General features: G+C 43.9%; 1 protein-coding gene and 1 pseudogene across 30 annotated transcripts in view, besides 1 other annotated feature; one reads left to right on the top strand and one right to left on the bottom strand.

The window, feature by feature from the left end:
• The window catches only part of EIF4G3 (eukaryotic translation initiation factor 4 gamma 3), a 370,606-nt gene continuing 348,365 nt past the window's right edge, over positions 3,263–25,503 (top strand). For 19 of the 30 annotated variants that reach the window (XM_047433366.1, XM_047433324.1, XM_017002707.3 and 16 more), the window contains exons 1-2: positions 3,263–3,438; positions 3,802–3,985. Coding sequence is in view for 1 of the 30 variants with exons in the window: in XM_047433231.1 (XP_047289187.1) it covers positions 3,768–3,985 (218 nt within the window). In the remaining 29 variants the exon portion in view is untranslated. Of the gene's footprint in view, positions 3,439–3,746; positions 3,986–12,120; positions 12,200–25,503 lie in introns of those variants that run through there. The other 11 variants (XM_047433321.1, NM_001391899.1, NM_001391893.1 and 8 more) reach the window with 4 other exon arrangements.
• Positions 3,299–3,348: an enhancer, noted in NCBI's record as "active region_325". NCBI's record gives its function as "activates an Ori minimal core promoter by ATAC-STARR-seq in GM12878 lymphoblastoid cells {active_cell/tissue: GM12878}" and the evidence as "EXISTENCE:reporter gene assay evidence [ECO:0000049][PMID:35858748]".
• Positions 18,079–18,685, bottom strand: HSPE1P27 (heat shock protein family E (Hsp10) member 1 pseudogene 27; annotated as a pseudogene).

The raw sequence follows: 25,503 nt of genomic DNA, 5'->3' as shown, positions 1-25,503 counted from the left end.
TATATGTAATATATAACATATATTACGTAATATATGTAATATATTATGTAATATATATTATATATAATATATATTATATATAATATATAATATATATTATATAATATATTACATAATATATTACATATATTATATATTATATAATATACAATATATATTATATATATTATATATTATATAATATACAATATATATTATATATATTATATATTATATAATATACAATATATATTATATATATTATATATTATATAATATACAATATATATTATATATATTATATATATTATATATTATATCTGCTGCTTGATATATATAATATATAATATATATTATATATAATATATTAAATATATAATTAATTAATTAATTAATAAATTATATAATATATATATATATGCAAGTGAGGTCTAGACTTGAGCAAGGCCATTCTTTGGGCTGAAAGAACAGAGCTCTACCTTTTTGACTTTGTTCCCTACAAACTTCCTCCATTGATTGCCTGTGGCCAGAATCTTATCAGGGACTTTTACATTATTTTGCCCAAGGTCTATCCATTTTAAAACAGATAAGTTTCATAAAGTGCTTAGCTAAGACTGGCACACAGTAATTGTCTGATGCTTGTAGCTATTATTAAGTTAGAAAATGAAGCTAGCTCAGAAAAGAATAACAATTAGGCAATTATCGGCCTGTTATCACCCTAGTGTAAATGAGAAGTCAAATAATTTCCTTGGAACAGGTTTTGATTGGGATAAGGATGCCTGAGATTCCAGAAAATGAAAGGAGAATCTGGGGAACTGAAGGACCACTAGGGAATTCTTCCTGGAGTCAATTATATGTGGAGAGGAGCAGAAAATCCCATCCTAAATAATCAGGTGTTACAGGCCGGGCATGGTGGCTCACGCCTGTAATCCCAGCACTTTGGGAGGCCAAGGCGGGCGGATCACGAGGTCAGGAGATCGAGGCCATCCTGGCCAACACAGTGAAACCCCATCTCTACCAAAAATACAAAAAGAGAAAAAAAATCAGCCGGGCACGGTGGCAGGTGCCTGTAGTCCCAGCTACTTGGGAGACTGAGGCAGGAGAATGGCGTGAACCCAGGAGGCAGAACTTGCAGCGAGCCAAGATTGCGCCACTGCACTCCAGCCTGGGCGACAGAACGAGACTGTCTCAAAAAAAAAAATAAATAAATAAAAAAATCAGGTGTTACAAATCCAGACAGTTTAAGATGCCACAGTATGAAGTAGCTGCTGTCTTCCAGTCTGGAGATGGGGATGAGGCATCCTTTTCAATGTCAGAAACTGTGGAGCTCTAGCTAGAAAGACGCCGTAGGGGGGTTGTGGTATCACTCTCTTTCAGATGCTCTTTTATCCTAGAAGGAGCATTTGGGGCTCCCAGGGATTGTCACGAATTAAGCATCCACTATGTGTAGAGCTTTATATGAATTAAAAACAACAATAGGCCAGGCGCGGTGGCTCACGCCTGTAATCCCAGCACTTTGGGAGGCCGAGGCAGGCAGATCACCTGAGGTTGGGAGTTTGAGACCAGACTGACCAACATGGAGAATCACCGTCTCTACTAAAAGTACAAAATTAGCCAGGCGTGGTAGCGCATGCCTCTAATCCCAGCTACTCGGGAGGCTGAGGCAAGAGAATCGCTTGAACATGGGAGGCGGAGGTTTCCGTGAGCCGAGATCGTGCCATTGCACTCCAGCCTGGGCAACAAGAGCGAAACTCCGTCTCAAAAAACAGCAACAACAAAATAGTAAGGCAGTGTGTGAAGCAGGATAGCAGGAGTCAGAACTAGACTCTAATCTTAGCTCTGCCAGCCACACTGTCGGTGCGACCTCGGGGAAGTCTTTTGTGCGTTTTGAGCCTCAATTTTCTCAGCTTTTCTGTGGTTTGATGGTATTGAGCCTCCCCAGTCTCAGTTTATTCATTTGTAAAATGGATACTACCTATTTCACAGGACTGCTTGAGATAATGAAGGGTACAGCGCTTAGTGCCATGTCTGGTAAATATTATATTAAAACTTGATTGCTCCATGACGCCTGCCATTTTTTTTTTTTTTTTGAGACGAAGCCTCACTCTGTCGCGCCCAGGCTAGTGTGCAATGGCACTCTCTCAGCTCACTGCAACCTCCGCCTCCTGGGTTCAAGTGATTCTCCCGCCTCAGCCTCCCGAGTAGCTGGTGCCTGCCACCACGCCTGGCTAATTTTTGTATTTTTAGTAGAGACGAGGTTTCATCATGTTGGCAAGGCTGGTCTTGAACTCCTGACCTCAAGTGATCCACCGGCCTTGGCCTCCCAAAGTGCTGGGATTACAGGCGTGAGCCACCGCGCCCGGCCGATGCCTGCCATTCTTTCCCACTCAATGCCACTGTGCTTAGGACAAGGCACCTGCTAAGGAGTGGGGTGTGCGGGGTTGGGGGTGGGAGTGATCTTGGCAGGTCTAGCTGGGAAGAAAATCCTTATCAACAAATGTCACCCAGCATAGGACATTGGGGAGCTGATCACTGGCTGCTGGTCAAAGGGCGCTCCAGTCCTGGGGAAGGCCTAGGTTTGAATCCATCCACAGAGCTCAGTTAAGGCTGCTGATTAGATATGGCGGCTCAGGTCATGTCCCCAGCCAATATGGGAGGCGGCAAGGTTCATCCAGATGAAGGTGGCATTTAGATTTAGGCTCTGTCCTTTCCCGATAGGGTGACCTTGGGCTAGTCACTTTTCCTCTGTGTCCTCTGGAAATGGGGCTCCTCATTCACCTCTCAGAGCGTCTGAGGAAGTGTCGACACAATGGGTGTGAAATGCGTGGGTTACAGGCCGGCGGGTGGCATTGGTTACGCGAAGTCCCCGCGGGGGGTCCCTATCCAACGGGTTCCATTCCGGTTAAGCGGTTCCTTCTCCAGGGGTTTTTCGCCTCGCCGCTGCCTCTCCGCCCCTGCGAGCGGGGCTCAGCGAACAGCCGACTCCGGGGCCATTACCATTGTTCTTCGAGGCTGGGCCGCAGGGGAGGACTCTCGCAAGCCAGACCTCGCCTTTGGTCTTTCCCTCCGCCCCGCACCCGCGCCGCTGTAAGCCAGCGAAGCCTCCCTCGCCGATCTTTGCCGAGGAAGCGAGTTAGCCCCTGAGCCCTCCCGAACGGCGGCCGAGGACGCACCCGAGCGTCTCCGAAGAATCCCGACCCCTAGCAGTCTCCGGAAAGAGCCGAAGAGGCTTCCCACCCTCGGTTTCCCGAGCCATTCCGAAAAAGTCCGAAGTTTTCCGAGCAGCCGTCCTGCCGGACTGCTGGAGGCGGCCACAGCGCCATGTTGGATGCTCTGCTCGTTGAGTGAAGAAAATCCACCGGCATCGCCTGAGCCCCGCTACCGAGAAGGGCGCCGCTTCCTCCGGGGAGGGGGATAAAGATCCCCCGCCGCCGGCCCATGAGGATATTGCCGTGAAAGGTCCGGTCTCTCCGCCTCCTGCCCCCGCCGGGTCCGGCCCCCCCCCTGGGGTCGCGTTGTCACGGAGACCGGCAGCCGGTGGTGCTGGCCCGCGGGGCGGCTGCTGCTGCCGGCGGCGGCGGCGGCGGAGGCGGCGGCGGCGGCGGCGGCGGCGTCGGGCGTGTGTGACCGGCCCCGGCCCCCTCCTCCTCCTCCCCCCAGGCTCCCCCCAGCCCCCCGCTCCCGCCGCCTCCCCGGGTCTGCCCCCATCCCGCCCCCCCGCTGCCCCCGGCCCCTGCACCCCGGCGCGCCCGGTCCCGCTCTGGGGGGGTTGGTGGCTTCGCTTTGCCATGAGTTTACCGCAGAAACCGGCTCTGAAATCAGGCACAGCGACTGCAGCAGGAACCGGACCCGGCACCGGAGCGGCGGCGGCGGCGGCAGCAGCGGTACCGCCTCCTCACCCGGCGGCGGCAGCAGCGGCGGCGGCGGCGGCGGCGGCGGCGGCGGCGGCAGCGGTCCCCCCTCCTCACCCGAACATCAGGGCCCTCCAGACTCAGGCGCCCCAACAGTATCCTTTTCACCTTCCTGTCGGCCCTTCGGTTCTCGTCGTCGCAGTCCAGGGGGACCCCGCAGCCCAGGGGACCCTCCTGCCGGCCGCCACAGCCCAGCCAGGAAAGGGACAGCGGCTCAAGCCCCTGCATCGGGCTTGGGCGGAGCTTTTGGGGTGCCCCGGCAGCAGCACTGCGGGGGGACCCCCAGACCCTCTGCAATACTGTGAAAGCTAGCCCCACTTGGCCATGCTTCTGCAGCCCCTTCCTTTTAGAGCTTGGGGTCCCTTCTCCCCTCCTCCCCTAAGGTACCCTCCCCCCCTTTATTGGGCAGAATTTGCTTGGTGCCTGGGACCAACCCTGCAGGGAAGGCTTTTCTCTGGTTGTTGTGAGGATTACACCCTCCTGCTCTTCACCTCCCCTCGGCTCCCCCTACAGCGGGACACAGTGGGCTTCCATAATTATTATTAGTACATAATAAACTTTATCGGTAAATTTCTTGTTTGAAACCAATCAGCTCGTTTCCGAGGTATGTTGGATTTTCAGTCTAAGGTGAAAATGTACAGAAAGCAGTTCCTCTGGATAATTTTTTTTAGTAATGGGAGAGTTGTGATGTGGTTTGTGGTAGAGATCTGAGGAGGAAATGTGACGCCGGACGCTTCCCTGTCTTTGACCTTTTTAAAGGAAGAGGAAGTTCACCGACATTACCCATCACCCACAAAAGTCTCACTTCTTGGAAGATTTGTGTTAGGCTGAATATTTTTAATGGGCTTTAATTTACTCCTCATAGGCCTGATGTCTAGAGAGTTACCAGGGCTTCTGGAGGAAAGTCTAGTATTGAATGTTTCTAATTTCATGTTATTTGCTCGATTGTAGAATTTTGGAGAGCTTTGATTGAAAAGACTTGGTGATGGGGTATTTTAGTCAAAAACTAGCCGGTGAAGGTAAAACGTTGAATTCATGTATTCCACGGAGATTTAGAAAGGTATTGCGTACCTGAGAATAACATTTCATCATGCATCACCTCCTCCCTACACCCACTGTATTTGTGTAAATCAATAAATAATGATTGGATGTTAGATGTGTTGTGTTTTTATGTTTGTGTCATCGTGCGTTTGACTTTTAGAGATTGTAGGATGTTTGAGCAAGTAAGAAGCTAACTGCTGTGAGGTCCCCAGATTATTTCACAGTCTGTAGTTTGATTCTTGTCTGTATAGATTACTTTGAGAAGGGAAAGCAATCTCCCTTCTAGAGTCATTTCAGGTCATTGTTTGTTTTCTGCCAAGTGTCATTTTCTCTGTTCTTTAAACCTAGTTCGTGATTTTCAATCCAGGCACCGCGGTGCAGTGTAAAGATAAATTCCATTCCAGTGTGACGTGTGTACTGATTTCATAATGTTTTTATCCTGCATGATTCTGTTCAATTAGGAATTGTTCACCGATGAGAAAGTGTGGTGATAACTTAGCGTTGCTTATGGAAAACCTGGTTGGTTTTGTTCAGTGTCTCTGGGGTGGGGGAAGATTGGCTGGTTTGCCTACTTAAAGGCAGAGTTCAGTGTTGAATCTTTTAAACCTGTCTTTGCTTACTACTTTGTGAGTTTAAATTCCTTTCTAATTTCATTTTTTACCTTGATTGCCTATACTCGGTTAGGACTTTTAAGTTTCTGAATTGTGCTACCACGTAAATTACTCATTACCTGCATCTTTGAGCTGTTTTGGCAATTGAACAGAAATAAAAGGAAACCTGTAGTAGGTGTCCTTGATGTACAGAGTAGTAAGGACCACAGTGCTGAATGTGACACTGTTTGGTGAATTGGGTGGCTTTTTGGGATACAGCTGTGTTTCAAGTATGCTTTTTCTCAGTGCATTTCATAGAAGGACTTATAAAAGCTCTGAGTTGGTTGCAACATTCAAGTAGTTACAAAAGCTGAAACTTAATTTTCTTTTGAATAAAAAGCACTTGTTAAAGAGATAAATTTAAGTGTAAGTTCCAGTGTAGATAATTTTAAACCAATTTTAGTCATATGGAACACTTACTTTTGTGTGGCTTTAAGTTTTTACTTTGCCTCATGCCATTGAAGCTAAAATTAATCTTCCTCTTGATGTGTTTCACAGCTCTTATTGTTTTCTCTTTGCTTTTACACACTGAAAGGTTACAATTGCTAAAATAGAAAATTTTATTATATAAACAGTAAAGGAAGTATAGGTTGTAGATTTCATCAGACATACCAGTGGTGAAGTGTTATCAACTGGTAATGGGGTATTGATTAAAAAAGGATTGAAATAGAGCAGTTCTACTTTTCTACCCTGAGGGAGTATGGGAATTTGTATTTGACGCAAGTGGTCATTGTTCAATAAGTGGATAACATTTAAGCATCTTGGCAGGAGTGCATAGCTGGAGTTAGCACTGTTCATGGCTTGAATAGATCTCCAGACCCTCAAAGTATGTGGGTATAGTTGTGTTTGCATTGAATTAATAAGTTCAGACAGTTTTATTTATTTATTTTTGAGACAGAGTCTTGCTTTGTCGCCCAGGCTGGAGTGCAGTGGTGTAATCTCGGCTCACTGCAACCTACGCCGGCTGGATTCCAGCCATTCTCATGCCTCAGCCTCCTGAGTAGCTGGGATTACAGGCGTGTGCCACCAGGTCCAGGTAATTTTTTGTAAGGCGTGATCAGACTGGGTTTCACCATGTTGACCAGGCTGGTCTCGAACTCCTGGCTTCAGGTGATCCGCCTGCCTCAGCCTCCCAAAGTGCTGGGATTACAGGCATTGAGCCACCGCACCTGGCCCTGATCTGGTGAAACCTGGTCTCTACTAAAAGTACAAAAATTAGCCGGGCGTGGTGGCGCCTGCCTGTAATTTCAGCTACTCAGGAGGCCAAGGCAGGAGAATCGCTTGAACCCACGAGGCAGAAGTTGCAATGAGCCGAGACTGCACCACTGCGCTCCAGCCTGGGTTACAGAGTGAGACTCCACCTCAAAAAAAACAAAATCAAAGGTCTTCTAGAAAATGTTTGGAACCCACGTCTTTTTTTTTTTTTTTTTTTTTTTTTTTTGAGATTGAGTCTCGCTCTGTTGCCAGGCTGGAGTATAGTGGCATGATCTTGGCTCACTGCAACCTCCGCCTCTTGGGTTCAAACGATTCCCCTACCTCAGCCTCCTGAGTAGTTGGGACTACAGGTGTGCGCCACCATGCCTGGCTAATTTTTTGTATTTTAGTAGAGACGGGGTTTCACTGTGTTGGCCAGGATGGTCTTGATCTCCTGACCTTGTGATCCGCCTGCTTCTACCTCCCAAAGTGCTGGGATTACAGGCGTGAGCCACTGCACCCGGCCGAGAACCACATCTTAAGTCAATGGAGAGGATTCCTGTAATCCCAGCACTTTGGGAGGCCGAGGTGGGCAGATCATGAGATCAGGAGATCGAGACCATCCTGGCTAACACGGTGAAACCCCGTCTCTACTAAAAATACATAAAATTAGCCAGGCGTGGTGGCAGGCGCCTGTAGTCCCAGCTACTTGGTAGGCTGAGGCAGGAGAATGGCGTGAACCCGCGAGGCGGAGATTGCAGTGAGCCGAGATCGCTCTACTGCACTCCAACCTGGGTGACAGCGAGACTCCATCTCAATAAATAAATAAATAAATAAATAGGATTGCCACATTTTGCCATTTATATTGAGGCTTCAATAGATGTGGCAAGTTTATGAATTCATTAATTCAGCATCCACTGTGTGCTGCTACACTCAGTGCTAGATGTAGGATTGAAGAGCTAAGGTAGAAATCTTTGCCCTCAAAGAACTTGGTCCTTTTGGTTAGAGGTGGGTAAACAAAACGTCATGAGGCAAGTACAGTGATAACTGATAACTCTGCTGTGAGAGTAGTCTGGGGAAGGAGGAATTAAGGCTTTCTAAAAGAAGTTGACATCTCAGCTAAATTAGAAGAATGAGTAAGAATTAACCCAGGTTTACATAGCTTTCTCTTCTGCCGGCCTGCTTTTTCCAATTCCATTGCTGCTCCATAGAATTTTAATAAATGGATTTCAGTCACGTTTCAGGCTTTTTTTTTTTTTTTTTTTTGCTAGAGGAGGTACCAGAGAAAGTGACAGTCAAACACAAGCTAAAAATTCAAAGTATTTTCTGTATCATAATCTAAGGAATTAGTGTATGAGAAGGAGATACATACCTGATCTGATCTGTGGTGGGTCTTTTCCTGGTCTCCTTCCCAGTGCATCTCGTAATATCCTTGCCCTTTTAATACTAGACTTTGGCTTAGAAACAGTACTTGCTAGTCTTAAAATAGAAGTAGATTTACCTTGGTGTATTGAGAAGTGTACCTGATTTGGAGGCAAAAAATCTGGTTTTGAGTTTGGCTCTTTCATTGTAGTAGATATCTTATCTTAGACTAACCATGCAACTGCTTCAGGCATTGGTTATCCCTTCTCTGAAATGTAGGGTCTAGACTCATTTATTCAGTGACCTTCTTGAATTATAATTGCTTATGATTGTCTTTTGAGATTTGTGTTATTCTTGCAAGTGGAGAGGAGGGATTTACAGAAACCAGTTAATGTTTTCTTTGTCTGATGGTAAGTGACATGTTCTGTGGTGGCTTATTGATATTAGAAGATACTAACATGGGGCAGAGGCAGAGGCAAAGCAGCAGTTTGCTCATATAAGCTACTTCTGGTTTTTGGCTTGTTAATGTTAGATTCAGCCACAGAGACAGAAGCACCTCTCTAACTTCAGTGGTGAAGACTGTATAGTTAGTTGTGAGATAGTGGGAGACCATAAAATAAGGTTGCCATGGTCATTTGCTGGCTTGTTCTGGGTGATGATACAGTTAGTTCATTATGAGATATGAGGGAAAGTAAGTTCTGGAATAAACTCCCGTGGTGCTGTGGTGAGACACAATCTATTTTTACCTAAGGAATAATACTTTGAGCTAATATAATAGGAAAGTAACTAGTTCCTGATTATTAGCCACGCATATGACTTTAAGCAATGGATAAACTGCAGCTGAGACTTACACGGATGAGATATTGCAGGATCCCAAGCGACTTCTGAATTCTCAAATGGCTTCCAGTTCTTTGGCTTGCTGCCAACCAAAGGAATTTTTCAATCTCCTGTAGCTCAGCTGAAATTTGAGAAAGTTAAACTATTTTAAGTGCATTTGAAATTTGTTGGTTTTTACGACTTTTTTTTTTTTTAATTTATTTTTTTAGACAGGGACTTGCTCTGTCACCCAGGCTGGAGTGTGATCTTGGCTCACTGCAACCTCTGCTTCCTGGGTTCAAGTGATTCTCATGCCTCAGCCTCCCAAGTAGCTGGGATTACAGGTGTGTACCACCACACCTAGCTAATTTTTGTATTTTTAGTAGAGATGGATTTTGCCATGTTGGCCAGGCTGCTCTTGAACTCCTGACTTCAAATGATCCATCCACCTTGACCTCCCCAAGTGCTGGGATTACGGGTGTTAGCTACTATGCTCTACCATGATCTTTATTAACTAATAATTGTTTTGTACTTTTTTTTGAGACAGAGTCTCTGTCGCCCAGGCTGGAGTGCAGTGGCGCAGTCTCGGCTCACTGCATCCTCCACCTCCTGGGTTCAAGTGATTCTCCTGCCTTAGCTTCCTGAGTAGCTGGGATTACAGGTGCGCGCCATCACACCCATCTAATTTTTGTATGTGGGGTACAGGTGGGGTTTTACCATGTTGGCCAGGCTGTTCTCGAACTCCTGACCTCAAGTGATCCACCCATCTCAGCCTCCCAAAGTGCTGGGATTACAGGCATGAGCCACCACACCTGGCCTGTTGTGTACTTTTTTGAGCCCACTGTGTGCTGCCTGACTTTATAAGACATTGAATTTTGTTAATAGAATGTAAACTCCATGAAGGCAGAGATTTTTGTTTATTTTGTTCACTGTGGAATTGCTAGCACCTAGAATACTGCTTGACAGACAGTAGGCAGTCTGTAAATTTATTTGTTTGTTTGTTTGTTTGTTTGTTTATTTATTTATTTTTGAGATGGAGTTTCACTCTTGTCGCCCTGGCTGGAGTGCTAGTGGCACAATCTCAGTTCACTTCAACCTCCGCCTCCTGGATTCAAGTGATTCTCCTGCCTCAGCCTCTAGAGTAGCTGGGACTACAGGCGTGCACCACCACGCCTGGCTAATTTTTGTATTTTTAGTAGAGGCGGGGTTTCACCATGTTGGTCAAGATGTTCTCAATCTCCTGATCTTGTGATCCGCCTGCCTTGGCCTCCCAAAGTGCTGGGATTACAGGCTTGAGCCACCGTGCCTGGCCTGTAAATATTTATTAAATAAAAAGTGTGTTGGACTTTGGGAATCAATTTGAAGATAAGTTTTAGGATTAATATAGATGGCATCACAACTCACTTACAGCATTCAAAGCTGCCCTCAAATTATTTTGCAGGGATGTATAATTGAATTGAAAATAATTCTGTAATTTCCTTTCAGATGGAATAGCATTGACCCAGTTTACAAAGCCATCTGAAGTGCCTGAGTTGTATTTGAAGTACATATTGATACTGAGGATTAGGGTTGGTATGAAGGCCAAAGAGGAACAACATCTGTAGTCAAATATTATTATTAAAAACTTATGATTATAAGAGCAAGACATAATTAAATGAGAAATTTGGAAAAATATAGAAAAGTAAAAAATCACTCATAATCTTATTAGTGGAGACAACCCCTTTTATTTTATTTTATTTTATTTATTTATTTTTTTGGGGGGAGAGAGTGTTGCCCTGTTTCCCAGGCTGGAGTGCAGTGGCACAATCTTGGGTCACTGCAACCTCTGCCTCCCGGGTTCAAACAATTCTGCCTCAGCCTCCCAAGTAGCTGGGATTACAGGTGCATGCCATTATACGCAGCTAATTTTTGTATTTTGGGTAGAGGTGGGGTTTCACCATGTTGGCCAGGCTGGTCTCGAACTCTTGACTTCAGGTGATCTGCCCACCTCGGCCTCCCAAGGTGCTGGGATTACAGGTGTGAGCCACCGCGCCTTGCCACTTTTTTAAAGAGGTGGGGTCTTACTCTACCTCCCAGGGCATGGTCATGGCTCACTACAGCCTTGACCTCCTGGGCTCAAGCAATCCTCCCACCTCAGCCTCCCAAGGAGCTCGGACCACAGGTGTGTGCCACCACACCTAGCTAATTTTTTTGTAGAGATGGGGTTTTGCCATGTTACCCAGGCTGGTCTCGAACTCTTGGGCTCAAGCCACCTGCTCACCTTGGCCTCCCAAAGTTCTGGGATTACAGGCATGTGTCCCAGTGTGTAGCTGTGATAACCACTTTTAACATTTTGGTGTATTTCTGTCCTGATTTTTTTTTTTCTGTGGATTTTAATATTAGTGGTCATACATTTTTGTAACATAAAGTCAGATTATGTACCTAGTTTTGTATCTTGCTTAATTTGCTACCTAAGTATCTGCCATGAAAAGTACTTTTTTTGGCCAGGTGTGGTGGTTCATGCCTGTAATCCCAGTACTTTGGGAGGCTGGGGCAGGAGGATCACTTGAGTCTAGGAATTTGAGACCAGCCTGGGCAACATAGTGAGACCCCATCTCTAATAAAAATTAAAAAATAGTTTGCCAGGAGTGGCAGTGCATGCCTGTAGTCCCTGCTACTCAGGAGGCTGAGGCCGGAGGATTGCTTGAGCCCGGGAGGTCAAGGCTGTAGTGAGACCTGATTGTGTGATTGCACACCAGCCTGGGTGAAAGGGCAAGACTGTCCCCCAAAAATAAAAAGAGATACTTTTTTTTTTTAAAAAATTGAGACGGAGCCTCGCTCTGTCACCCAGGCTGGAGTGCAGTGGCACGATCTCAGCTCACTGCAACCTTGGCCTCCCGGGTCAAGCAATTCTCCTGCCTCAGCCTCCTGAGTAGCTGGGATTACAGGTGCCCTCCACCACGACCGGCTAATTTTTTGTATTTTTAGTAGAGACGGGGTTTCACCATGTTGGCCAGGCTGGTCTCAAACTCCTGACCTCAAGTGATCTGCCCACCTCAGCCTCCCAAAGTGTTGGGATTACAGGCGTGAGCCACCACACCCAGCCAAGAGATACTTCTTGAATAGTTTTATTCTGTATCTACTTGAAATATAAGTGAACTTTTTGTTTATTTGGAATGCTTTTCTTGGGAATATTTTTTCACCTTTGGCTTTTAGCTTAGAAGTTATGACTGCACATTACAAAGGGGAATGTTCAAACCTTTATCAGTAAGTCAAACATCTTTTGAGTTATTGTTCCTGTAATGTTTTGCATTATTTGCAAGATTAAAACTCAGTGTAACATCACAAGTTTTTTTCCCATACAATTATTTACATTTCTTTATTATCTCTTTAAGTTCATCTTTATATGTTCAAGTATACTAAGTTTTTAAAAAAGGCTGGGAGCCAGAGTCCTAATTTTTTTTTTCTTTGTGACGGAGTCTCACTCTGTTGCCCAGGCTGGATTGCAGTGTTGTGATCTTGGCTCATTGCAACCTCCACCTCCCGGGTTCAAGCGGTTCCCCTGCCTCAGCCTCCTGAGTAGCTGGGATTACAGGCACCCGGCACCACGCCTGGCTAATTTTTGTATTTTTAGTTGAGGCAGGGTTTCACCATATTGGCCTGGCTGGTCTTGAACTCCTGACCTTGGCCTTCCAAAGTACTGGGATTACAGACGTGAGCCACTGCACCTAGTGTATTTATATATTGGCCAGGCTGGTCTCGAACTCTTCATCTCAGGTGATCCATCTGCCTCAGCTTCCCAAAGTGCTGGGATTACAGGCGTGAGCCATCGCGTCTGGCATTTAGTTGGTTTTCAGGAAGTGTTAGTATCATGAGGAGTGATTGAAGGAAGGAGGAAAAGACCACAGGGATTCATGCGGGATGAGGGAAAGAGGATTGAAGTGTGGGAACAAACATAATTTTGGAATAAGGAGAGAAAATTAAGTGGGAATAGAAAATGAACACAGCCAGTTTTAAACCAGAATACTATTTTTACATTGAGAATGGAAAGGACTGAACCTTGAAGGTTAAATGAGATGATTCCTGACCTTTTTTCTAGGTCCTAGTAATTAGTATGTAAGAAATAGAACTTGGTCGGAGAACTTGGCCAGGTGCAGTGACTCATGGCCTGTAATCCCAGCACTTCAGGAGCCCAAGGTGGGTGGATTGCTTGAGTTCAGGAGTTTGAGACCATCCTGGATGACATGACAAAACCCCGTCTTTACAGAAAATACAAAAATTAGCCAGGCGCGGTTGCACGTGCCTGTAGTCCCAGCTACTTGGGAGGCTAAGGTGGGAGGATTGCTTGAGCCTAGGAGGTTAAGGCTGCAGTGAGCCATGATTGCACTGCTGCACTCCAGCCTGGGTGACAGAGTGAGACCCTGTCTCAAAAAAACCCCCCAAAACAAACAAAAAAAACCCTTAATTCATTTATTTATTTTATTTATTTATTTTTTTGAGACAGTCTTGCTCTGTCACCCAAGCTGGAGTACAGTGGTGCGATCTCCATCTCAGCTCACTGCAACTTCTGCCTCCTAGGTTCAAGCAATTCTCATGCCTCAGCCTCCCGAGTAGCTGGGGATTACAGGTGCACGCCACCACATTGGGGCAATTTTTGTATTTTTAGTAGAGATGGGGTTTCACCATAATAGGCCAGGCTGGCCTCGGACTCCTGACCTTAAGTGATCTGCCCCTCTCAGCCTCTAAAAGTGTTGGGATTACAGGCGTGAGCCACTGCGCCCAGCTTATTCATTTTTTCGAGATGGGGTCTGGCTGTGTCTTTCAGGCTGGAGTGTAGTGGCATAATTATGGCTCACAGTAGCCTTGACCTGCTGGGCTCAAGCAGTCCTCCTGCCTCAGCCTCTTGTGTAACTGGGACCACAGACACACTCCGCTATGCCTGGCTAATTTTTTAATTTTTTTTTTTTTTTTAGAGATCTCAGTTTGTTGCCCAGGCTGATCTCAAACTCCTGGGCTCAAGGGATCCTCTCGCTTTGGCCTACCAAAGTGCCGGGATTACAGGTATGAGCCATTGAGCCTGGCATGGAAGTATGAATTTTTAAAAGGAAAAAAAAGAGTTTAAGACTATAGTCAGGGTTTAGATAGGCAGAGGTGGGTGGATTATGATGAGTGGGTGATCAATATGAACAAAGATTTGGGCCTGAAGCAAGTGTAGTGTATGCTGTGTTCTAAGGATTTGGATCTGTGTGCTTGGAATGGAGGATTCTCATGGTAGAATATTCAAGATAATGGATCCAGATTCTAGAGCATTTTGAATAAATAAGAGGAAGTTAGACTTCAGCTGTGTGAAACCATTACTTTTTTAAAAAACAGCTTTATTGAGATGTAATCCACATACCGTATGAGTCACCCATTTAGAGTGTATAATTCAGTGGTTTTGGGTATATTCAAAACCAGTTGAGAATTGTACAACTACTACCATAATTTTAGAATATTTTTGTCACTCCCCAAAGGAACCTGTTTGACTCCCCATGACTCCCCATTTTCCCCCAATTCTCCCTGCCCTAGGCAAGTCCAAGTCTATTTTCTGCCTCTATATATCTGCCTATTTTGAACTTTTTACGTAAATGGACTAATGTATTTTTTGTGTGTGATTTGTTTCAGCATAATGTTTTCAGGGTTCGTCTGTGTTGTAACCATGTATTAGCACTTCATTTTTAAAATTATTGAGTAATATTCCATGTACCATGGACATTTGGGTTGTTTCAACTTTTTGGCCTTTGGATAATGAATAGCCAAAAGGTTGGATAAAATTTCTGGCTCTGAATGATGTTGCTGTGACCGTTCATGGATGTTTTTATATAGATGTTATGTTGTAATTTCTCTTGAGTATATACCTTGGGGTATAGTTGCTGGGTTATATGAGGTAACTCCATGTTTAACATTTGGAGGAGCTGCCAAAATGTTTTCCAAAGTGGTTACACCATTTTATGTTCCTGCCAACAATGTATGAGGATTTCAGTTTTTCTGCATCCTTGCCAACACCTGTCATTATTTGTCTTTTTGATTATAGGCCATCCTATTGGGTGTAAAGTGGTATCTCATTGTGGTTTTGATTTGCGTTTCCCTGATGGCTAATGGAGTTGAGCATGTTTTTGTGTGTATTTGGCCATGTTTGTGTGCATTTGGCCATTTGTCAGTTACGGAGAATTATCTATATATATCCTTTGCCCAGTTGTTAATTGGGTCATATGTCTTTTTATTGTTGAGTTGTAAGAGTTCTTTATATATTCTGAATATAAGTTGTTTAACAGATACAGGAGTTGCAAGTATTTTCTCTCATTTAGTGGCTTATCTTTTCATTTTCTTGAGGTCTGTCTCTGTCACCCAGGCTGGAGTGTAATGGCATAATCAGATCTCACTGCAGCCTCGAACTCCTGAGCTCAAGGAGCCCTCCCACCTAAGCTTCCCAAGTAACTGGGACTAACTGCATGTGTGCGCCACTACACCCAGCTACTTTTTGTATTTTTTGTAGAGACGGGATTTCACCATGTTGCCCAGGCTGGTCTCCAACTCCTGGGCTCAAGTGATCTGCCTACCTTTGCCTTCCAAAATGCGGGATTATAGGTGCGAGCCACCACTCCTGCCTAGTTTTTTATTTTCGGTAGAGACAGAGTCTCACTGTGTTGCCCACTCGTGTCTCAAACTCCTGAGCTCAAGTGATTCTCCTGCCTTGGCTTCCCAAAGTGTTGGAATTACAGACATCAGCCACCCCGCCCAGCCTTGTGCGTTAAGGTTATATAATCCATTAAGTGCTTGAGATTTAGTGAGGTGTGCTATTTATAAAATAAGGCCTATTGGATAAACGAACTTTGACCATTTCTATCCTTTTTTATGCCCGGAAAACAAGTGTTGTCTGCTTTTATTATTAAGATAAATTACTATTAGGCAGTGGTAGTTTTGTAAAAAATAGAGTATAAGCATTTGACTGTTTTGCTGTCCTGTGAATAATTGAAATTATGAGTTACAAATTCTTAGGTTTTTGGATTTTGCATAGTGTTAGTTCTGTCAGGTTAAAATTGGTTGTTGATTGATATGAGGTTATACTCCCAGGCTATTCTAATGTATATGTTATTATAAAGAAACAAAATTGGAGCTGGGCACAGTGGCTCACACTTGTAATCCCAGCACTTCGGGAGGCTGAGGCGGGCAGATCACCTAAGGTCAGGAGTACGAGACCAGCCTGGCCGACATGGAGAAACCCTGTCTCTACTAAAAAAATACAAAAATTAGCCAGGTGTGGTGGCACGTGCTTGTAATCCCAGCTACTTGGGAGGCTGAGGCAGGAGAATCGCTTGAACTCAGGTGGCGGAGGCTACGGTGAGCTGAGATCACGCCACTGTACTCCAGCCTGGGCTACAGAGCCAGACCCTGTCTCAAAAAAACAAAACAAAACAAACAAAAAACAAAATTGGGAAATACTGCTTAATCTCTTGTTTAGCAGGATTCTTTTTGCTATTTAGGAAAAGACCACATTAAAGAAGAGGTTATTTTGTTACCCTTAGGTGTAATAAAAACAGTTTATTTGTTTTGGATAAAGACTTTCCACAAAAAAACTCTTCAGTTGCTTAACATTGGGAAGTGGGAATGAGTGGAGTTGCTGATTTTGTAAGATTGTATCTGCTTTAAGTTTTAAATTATTATGCATGTCTCCAGCTTAGCTCTTACTCAATATTCAAAGGAAGTGGGTCTTAATTAGTCCATGTATAATTTTAATGGCATCAAGTACCTAATTAATAATTGTTGAATCTTTGAGGCTAATGTAGTCAGCTGATACTCCCTGTGTTACATTGTTGATCTTTTTCAGAAATATTAGAGTTTGAAAGTAGTCCAACTTCCTGGAATAAATGCTGTTTCAAAAGCAGACTACAGAGCACTTGACCTTAGCTTATTACCTTTTATATTGTGTGACTGAGTGAGTGTATTTAAATGTGGTACATTTTAGGTAAGGCAATGAAAGCTGAGTGTGGCTCTGGAATGTCATTGATTTCATTCTTGATCTTCATTAGAAAAATCATAGTTAAAGGATCCAAACATAAGTATGCATTAGCTTATTTTTCCTTTACACATAGTAGACAGTAAATTTAAAAAGAAGTGTCTTTGAAAGGTGCCACCATGAGCCAGTGATTTTTCTAAGCTGGAAAGGAGTTTGGGGATTTTTCTGGTTCAGCTTTCTGCCCCCTCTCCTACCTTTGTTCTAGAGGCTGAGGGGAGGTTAGGGCAACTTGCCTAACCATAAAGTTCATGCCAACTCAAATTTATTTGAGGTCTTTAACAACACTGACCAGTGACCTACTAATAGATCCTGTTTCTCCTGTAATGGTCCTGGTTTGGATAGTAAATTATATGGATACCCCCACCTGGTAACCATTACATAGCTTAGACAATTAGGAATCTTTTTATTTATTTATTTTTTTTTGGAGATGGAGTCTCGCTCTGTCCCCCAGGCTGGAGTGCAATGGCACCATCTTGGCTCACTGCAACCTCTGCCTCCCAGGTTCAAGCAATTCTCCTGTCCTTCCTCAGCCTACAGAGTAGCTGGCATTACAGGTGTGCACCACCACACTCAGCTAAGTTTTTGTATTTTTAGTAAAGACAGGGTTTCGGCATGTTGGCCAGGCTGGTCTTGAACTCCTCAAGTGATCCACCCGCCTCGGCCTCCCAAAGTGCTGGGATTACAGGTGTGAGCCACTGTGTCCCACCTTTTTTTTTTTTTTTTAAGATGATGTCTTGCTCTGTTGCCCAGGCTGGAGTGCTGTGGTGTGATCTCAGTTCACTGCAACGTCCACCTCCTGGGTTCAAATGATTCTCCTGCTTCAGCCTCTGGAGTAACTGGGATTACAGGTACCCACCACCACACCTGGCCAATTTGTATTTTTAGTAGAGACGGGGTTTCTCCATGTTGGCCGGGCTGGGCTCGAACTCCTGACCTCTGGTGATTCTGCCTGCTTTGGATTAGTTTAGATATCATTAGTTTATTATAAAAGACAGACATGGAAATTATTTACATGATGAATGATTTCAGAACTTTAGTGGAACGGGCAGCTTCACGTTGATGCCATTTCAATAGTGATTTATTTCAGTTTACATACTTTCCAAGAGTGTCACCATCTCTAAATGAATAATCCTTGTCATGTAGAGCTGCTTTGGCACCTCTATATTCTGGAAGAACTTTATCTCCAACTTTTTTTTTTTTTTTGAGACAGAGTTTCGTTGTTGTTGGCCAGGCTGCAGTGCAATGGTGCGATCTCGGCTCACTGCAACCTCCACCTCCCGGGTTCAAGTGATTCTCCTGCCTCAGCCTCCTGAGTAGCTGGGATTACAGGCACTCGCCACCATGCTTGGCTAATTTTTGTATTTTTAGTAGAGACGGGGTTGCACCATGTTGATTAGGCTGGTCTCGAACTCCTGACCTCAGGTGATCCACCCGCCTCGGCCTCCCAAAATGCTGGGATTACACTGGCGCATGAGCCACGGCGCACGGCCTATCTCCAACTTTTACACTGACTGGTTGAATCTCTCTCTACCCTTTCGTTCAGAGCCTGACCCAGCAGCTACTGCTGTTGCTTGCCATACTTTTCTTTGAGATTTTTCTGAAAGGATAATGCTTCCTTTGGTTACGATTTCAGTGGCACTTGTTTTTCTTTTTCTTTTCTTTTTTTTTGAGATGGAATTTTGCTCTTGTTGCCCAGGCTGGAGTGCAATGGTGCGATCTCGGCTCACTGCAACCTCCGCCTCCCAGGTTCAAGCGATTCTCAAGCCTCAGCCTCCTGAGTAGCTGGGATTACAGGCATGCGCCACCACGCCCTGCTAATTTTGTATTTTTAGTAGAGGTGGGGTTTTGTCATGTTGGCCAGGCTGGTCTTGAACTCCTGACCTGAGGTGATCCACCCGCCTCGGCCTCCCAAAGTGCTGGGATTACAGGCATGAGCCATTGTGCCAGGCTGGCACTTGTTTTTCAACCAACGCTCAGTCAAAGAGGAAGAAACTTCTTTATGAGATGGAGTCTCTCTCTCTTGCCCAAGCTGGAGTGCAGTGGTGCGATGTGTGCTCACTGCAGCCTCTGCCTCCCGGGTTCAAGTGATTCTCCTGCCTCAGCCTCCTAAGTAGCTGGGATTATAGGTGTGCACTACTGCTTCTGGCTAATTTTTGTATTTTTATTAGAGACGGGGTTTCACCATGTTGGTCAGGCTGGTCACGAACTCCCGACCTCAAGTGATCCACCCACCTTTGCCTCCCAAAATGTTGGGATTACAGGCCTAAGAAACTTTCTAAATGCTTTTCCTGCCATGACTCCCAGCACTACACGTCCTACTCTGCCCTCGTACTGTGCTGGAAGGAGAGACCCCTGATGTCCTTTTTCTGTTTCAGGATTCTAATTGCATTTAGTTATTTCTCTTTATTCTCTTATGGTTTGTAACGATTCCTGTGACTTTCCTTATCTTTTGTGACTTTGACACTTTTGAAGATTGCTGATCCATTGTTTATAGGGTGTCCCTCGTTTTGGATTTGTTTGATGTTTTCTCATGAATGGGGCGAGGTTATGCATTCCTTCTCATTGCCCCATATCAGGAGATTCATGATGTCAGTATGATGATGATTACCTTGACTACTTGGTTAAGTTGGCATCTTGCTGGTCTTTCTATTGTGGAGTTATTCTCTTTCCTTTTGTAGTTGATAAGTATCTTGTGGGAGATATTTGATGAGTTTGCAAACAATGTTAGAATCTTCTCAAACTTTGGTTCTCAATTTTAGCAACTGATGGAGCTTGTCTGCAACATTTATTGCTTTTGTGGTTGCCCAATTGTGACTTTCTATTTCACTCTTTCCTTCTACATTTATTGATTATAATTCTATGAGGAAAAGCTTTCTTTCCTCCATTTGTTTATTATTCATATCACTATGGACTCATGGGTATATATTTTATTTTATGGGTTAAAATCCAGTAACTATCATTGTTTGTTTTCTTACTCAGATTGTTCTAGCTTTGGCCATCAGGAATTCCTTCAGGTTGATTTCTGTGTTCTTTCAAGAAGCCATTATCTTTTTTTTTTTTTTTTGAGATGGAGTTTCGCTCTTGCTGCCCAAGCTGGAGTGCAATAGCACAATTTCGGCTCACTGCAACCTCTGCCTCCCAGGTTCAAGCGATTAGCTTGAACACAGCCTCCTGAGTAGCTGGGATTACAGGCACCTGCCATCATGCCTGGCTAACTTTTTGTATTTTTGTATAGACGGGGTTTCACCATGTTGCCCAGGCTGGTCTTGAACTCCTGACCTCAGATGATCCACCCGCTTGGCCTCCCAAAGTGCTGGGATTACAGGTGTAAGCCACCGCACCTGGCATCTGGATAATTTTTCAGTTTTTTGTAGAGATAGTCTTACTGTGTTGCCCAGGCTGGTCTCAAACTCCCAGCCTCAGTTGATCTTCCAGCCTTGGCCTCCCAGAGTGCTAGGATTACAGGCATGAGCCACCATACCTGGCTCACTGCAGCCTCCACCTCATGGGTTCAAACAATTCTCCTGCCTTAGCCTCCCAAGCAGTTGGAATTACAGGCGTGCGCCACCACGCTTGGCTAATTTTTTTTGTATTTTTAGTAGAGACGAGGTTTCGCCATGTTGGCCAGTCTTGTCTCGAACTCCTGACCTCAGGTGATCAGCCCGCTTCGGCCTCCCAAAGTGCTGGGATTACAGGCGTGAGCCACCGCGCCAGCCTTTTTTTTTCTTTTTTTTTTTTTTAAACCCTTGCTCTGTCACCCAGGCTGAAGTGAAGTTTGATCATAGCTCACTGCAATCTCAAACTCCTGGACTCAAGGGATCCTCCCATTTTAGCCTCCTAAGTAGCTGGGACTACAGGCACACACCACTGTGCCCAGCTAATTTTTAAAATTTTTGGAGAGATAGGGATAGGGGTCTCACTTTGTTGTCCAGTCTGATCCCAAACTCCTGGGCTTAAGCAATCCTCCTGCCTCGGCCTCCCAAAGTGTTGGGATTATAGGCCTGAGCCACTGCACCCAGCCCTTGTTTTTTTATTTTTAAGCTTTGCCAACATCTGAGTTCCCCGACAATCGTGTTCTTAATTCTTGTTAATATGTTATTAGAGTTAGAAAGGATTCCTTCTTATATTGCAGATAAAAGAAGGAAATGTGTAGAAGGTTTTTTTTTCTTTTTTTTCTTTTTTTGCCCTTTTTTTTGTGCCTCAAATCTGAAGGCCTTTTATGTATAGATTGTACTAGGACCTGCAGATCTAGTGTCTTTACTCATCATAGGTAACAATTGGATTTAGCGAGAAAATATAGGTATTTCTGTTTTTGAGTTTCGTTAACAGCAAATTGTTTAGATGGGATTAAAGGCCCAAAATGTACTCTAGTTATCTTTGTGGAACCCATGGATGAACACCTATATATATAGAGAGAGAGTGTGTGTGTGTATGTATATGTATGTACGTGTGTATACTCACCGTTGGACTCAAACTCAGGTAATTCTACTGCCTCAGCTTCTTGAGTAGGGGGGATTACAAGTGTGTGCCACTGTGCCTAGTTTATGTTGTGTTTTAGTGGTGTTAAATCTTGTGTACCAGGTCAGAATAATTGTTTTAGTTGGAGGAGCTAAGTTGAAATAAGTATTTGGTTATCATAAGTTACAGTTCATAAGCACTTTAAAAATAACCCCTTTTCTTCAATTAACTATATATTGGCTTGGTGTGTTGGCTCACACCTGTAATTCTAACACTTTGAGAGGCCAAGGTGGGTGGATTGCTTGAGCTTAGGAGTTTGAAACCCCCCTGGGCAACATGGCAAAACCTCGCCTCTACCAAAAATACAAAAATTACCTGGGCATGGTGGTATGTGCCTCTGGTCCCAGCCACTCAGGAGGCTGAGGTGGGTGGATTGCTTGAGTCCGTGAGGTGGAGGCTGCAGTGAGTGGAGATCGCACCACTCCACTCCAGCCTGGGTGACAGAGTGAGATCTTGCCTCAAAAAAAAAAAAAAAAAAAAAAAAGCTATGTATTTGTTAAAGAGAGAGTTTAGGCACAGAAAGGAAGTCTTCTCATGCTTTCAGTGCTTTCAGTGACATTGAAGGCTTTGGTCAGTTCATAAGGGCACCAGTGTGAAATTAGTTCATGATAAGGACAATTGTGAGAAACCTCCAGTTGGTCAAATAGCCTTCGGAAACTTACTGCTCATTATTCTTTCTGATTTTTCTTGGAATATTTTGAGAGAAAAGTCATTATTCCCTTGTATTTCAGAATCACGTTAATGAGGTAGCTTAACTGCTATTCAGCTGCAGGCTCAACTGAGTGAAAAAGGACAACTAGTAATGGTAAACTGAAGGAAAGACTAGTGGAATCTTGAGAAAGAATAAGAGAAAAAAGAGAAATGTTATTGTTTTGATATTACAGATTAAGCTAACCACAGTACCTGATTCTTAGCAGGTGCACAATAATTATTTAGTCAATAATTAATGGAGCAAATATTTATTAAGTAACATTGTATGTCTGTGCTGTCTATTGAAGAATATACAAAAGAAACCTGAGGCTGGGTGTGGTGGCTCACACCTGTAATCCCAGCACTTTGGGAGGCTAGACAGAAGGAGCACTTGAGCCTAGGAGTAGGAAGACCAACCTGGGCAACATAGGGAAACCCTGTCTCTACCAAAAAAAAAATTAGCCAGGTGTAGTGGTGAGCAGGAGGGTCACTCTAGCCCAGGAGGTTGAAGCTGCAGTGAGTTGTGATCATACCACTGCACTCCAGCCTGGGTAAGAAAGAGAGCAAGATCTTCTCTTAAAAAAAAACAAACAAAAAAAAACTACAAGAAAAAAACAGTACTCTCAAATGGAGGTACGAGATCAGAACCTTGAAAGTCAGTGAGGACTAGGGGAATAGGAAGTAGTATTTGGGCTGACTTGAAGTTGAGGGGAAGGACATCTACAGTTGAGGGAAATGGTATGGGCAGAGTCGTGGTCAGTGGTTAGGAAATGGTGTATGGTGTATATGGGGTAGTCCGAAGATCCACTGGGATAAAATAGAAAGCAGCAAATGTGCATCTGACAATTTTGGAGAACCTTTGGATATCTAACTGTATAATTTATTATTCATTTATTATTATTTTTTGAGATAGGGTCTTGCTTTGTTGCCTAGGCTGGAGTGCAGTGGTACGATCATGGCTCACTGCAGCCTCGACCTCTCAGGCTCACGCAGTACTTCTGCCTCAACCTCCCAAGCAGTAGGGACCACAGGTGGTCCCAGGTTGATATTTTGTAGAGACGAGGTTTCACTATGTTGCCTAGCCTGGTCTTGAACTCCTGGGCTCAAGCGATCCTCTGGCTCCAGCCTCCCAAAGTGCGGGATTAACAGATGAGAGCCACTGTGCCCGGCCTAATTTTTCCAAGGTTTTCCAAGGTTTTGCTGAGGTACATCCTGTCTAGAGGGAAATGAAAAGGAAAGGGTGATCATATCATGAAAGCTATCATAAAGGAAGAAAAATAGGGATTTGACTATCTTTGATTTCTGAAAGAAGAGTTAAAGTTGACTCCAGGGTTTTGAGACTAGAAAATGATGCTGTCATTGATAGAGTAAGAAAGATGTAGGATTTAATTTTATACGTTGTTTTGAGATAGTGGACAGATAAATTCAGTTTAGGACATGTTGGATTTGAAATGAGTGAAATATCCAACTCATTTTACAAACAAATGGAGATAACTGAAGATGTTTGGAAATAGGGAGATGGAAGTCAGATGAGCAGAAATGGTTGGAAAAACAAATCTGTGATAATATAAGCATAATGGAGAGAGGGAAGAGAAAAGCAAAGATTATTAGTCTATGCAGTGTCTGGTTACTTGAGGAAGATGAGGAAGCTTACAGAAAAGAGAAAGAAGCTGCTGAGAGGAAAGAGGAGGATCAACGCAGCACAACCTTTAAACTATCCAGAATAGATTCCCACTGAGTTTTGTTTATGTAATTGGAGGAAGTGACATTTAATCCTTGATAGCTAGTTTTTGATTGAAAGCTCTTGAGTTTTTTTTTGTTGTTTTTTTTTTTTTTGAGACAGAGTTTCGCTCTTGTTGCCCAGGCTGGAGTGCAATGGCGCCATCTCAGCTCGCTGCAGCCTCTGCCCTCAGGGTTCAAGCGATTCTCCCATCTCAGCCTCCCGAGTAGCTGGGACTATAGGCATGTGCCACCACGCCCAGCTAATTTTTGTATTTTTAGTAGAGATGGGGTTTCACCATGTTGGCCAGGCTAGTCTTGAACTCCTGACCTCAAGTGATCCTCCTGCCTCAGCGTCTCAAAGTGCTGGGATTACAGGCCTGAGCCACTGCACCCGGCTTTTTGTGTGTTTCTTTACAAGTCTAAAATTAGTTCTTAAAGGGCTTTGGTTTGGAGAGTTACATTTAAGTTTATACTTTTGCTTATTTTCTATAATCATATATTTTAGAAATAAAAAAACTTCTCAAAATATTTATTTATTTATTTTTTAGATGGAGTTTCACTCTTTCACCCAGGGTGGAGTGCAGTGGCGCTGTCATAGCTCACTGCAAACTCCCAACTCCTGGGCTCAAGCAATTCTCCCGCATTAGCCTCCCAAGTGGCTGAGATTAGAGGTGTGAGGCACCGTACCTGACTAAAACTTCAAAAATATGTAAATCACTTGCTGTCTCCCTAATAGGCTGCTGTTGGGGTTCTGGGCAGTAGTTACTGTGAAATCATTAATTTGAACCTGGAGTTTTCAATAAAAGATTTTAATATGCTAATCAGGAATTGAACAGAGCATGATAAACTCCATTACTATCCTTAGTTGATAAATTTTAAGCAGAAGAAAAGGAACTGTTTCAGTTAGCTTGTCTTTGCCTCATTATTGTGGATTGATGTATAATTTCTTTCTTTCTTTTTTTTTTTTTTTTTTTTTTTTGAGACAGAGTCTCGCACTGTCTCCCAGGCTGGAGTGCAGTGGCACGATCTTGGCTCACTGCAACCTCCGCCTCCTGGGTTCAAGCGATTCTCCTGCCTCAGCCTCCCAAGTAGCTGAGATTACAGGCACCTGCCACCATGCCTAGGTAGGTTTTGTATTTTTAGTGGAGATGGGGTTTCTCTATGTTGGCCAGGCTGGTCTTGAACTCCTGACCTCAAGTAATCCACCCGCCTCAGCATCCCAAAGTTCTGGGATTACAGGCGTGAGCCACTGTGCCCCGCTGGCCTATATATTTAAAAAATATATTTCTGGTTTCAGTTTCAGCCTTTGTTTATGGTTAGTCACAGGTTTGTAGTAGATAGTTTATAAGTGAGTAAAATTGAGGCATATTGTTTCAATACTCAAATAATGAGACAATAGTGAAAATACCTGCTCATCAAAATGTAGGACATCTTTTATCATACTGCTAAAGAGATATATAGATGGAGAGATACATAGATGCATAGATACATAGCATATATCTGCATCTCCTTATTAATAGTTCAGCTAGAATTTGAAATGTTAGGTTAAATTGGCTGCCTTTGAATGAAAAAGGAACTTCTATTT

Source organism: Homo sapiens, chromosome 1, assembly GCF_000001405.40.
Source record: "Homo sapiens chromosome 1, GRCh38.p14 Primary Assembly".
Classification (NCBI taxonomy): domain Eukaryota; kingdom Metazoa; phylum Chordata; class Mammalia; order Primates; family Hominidae; genus Homo; species Homo sapiens.
This window is presented reverse-complemented; position numbering and strand designations above follow the sequence as displayed.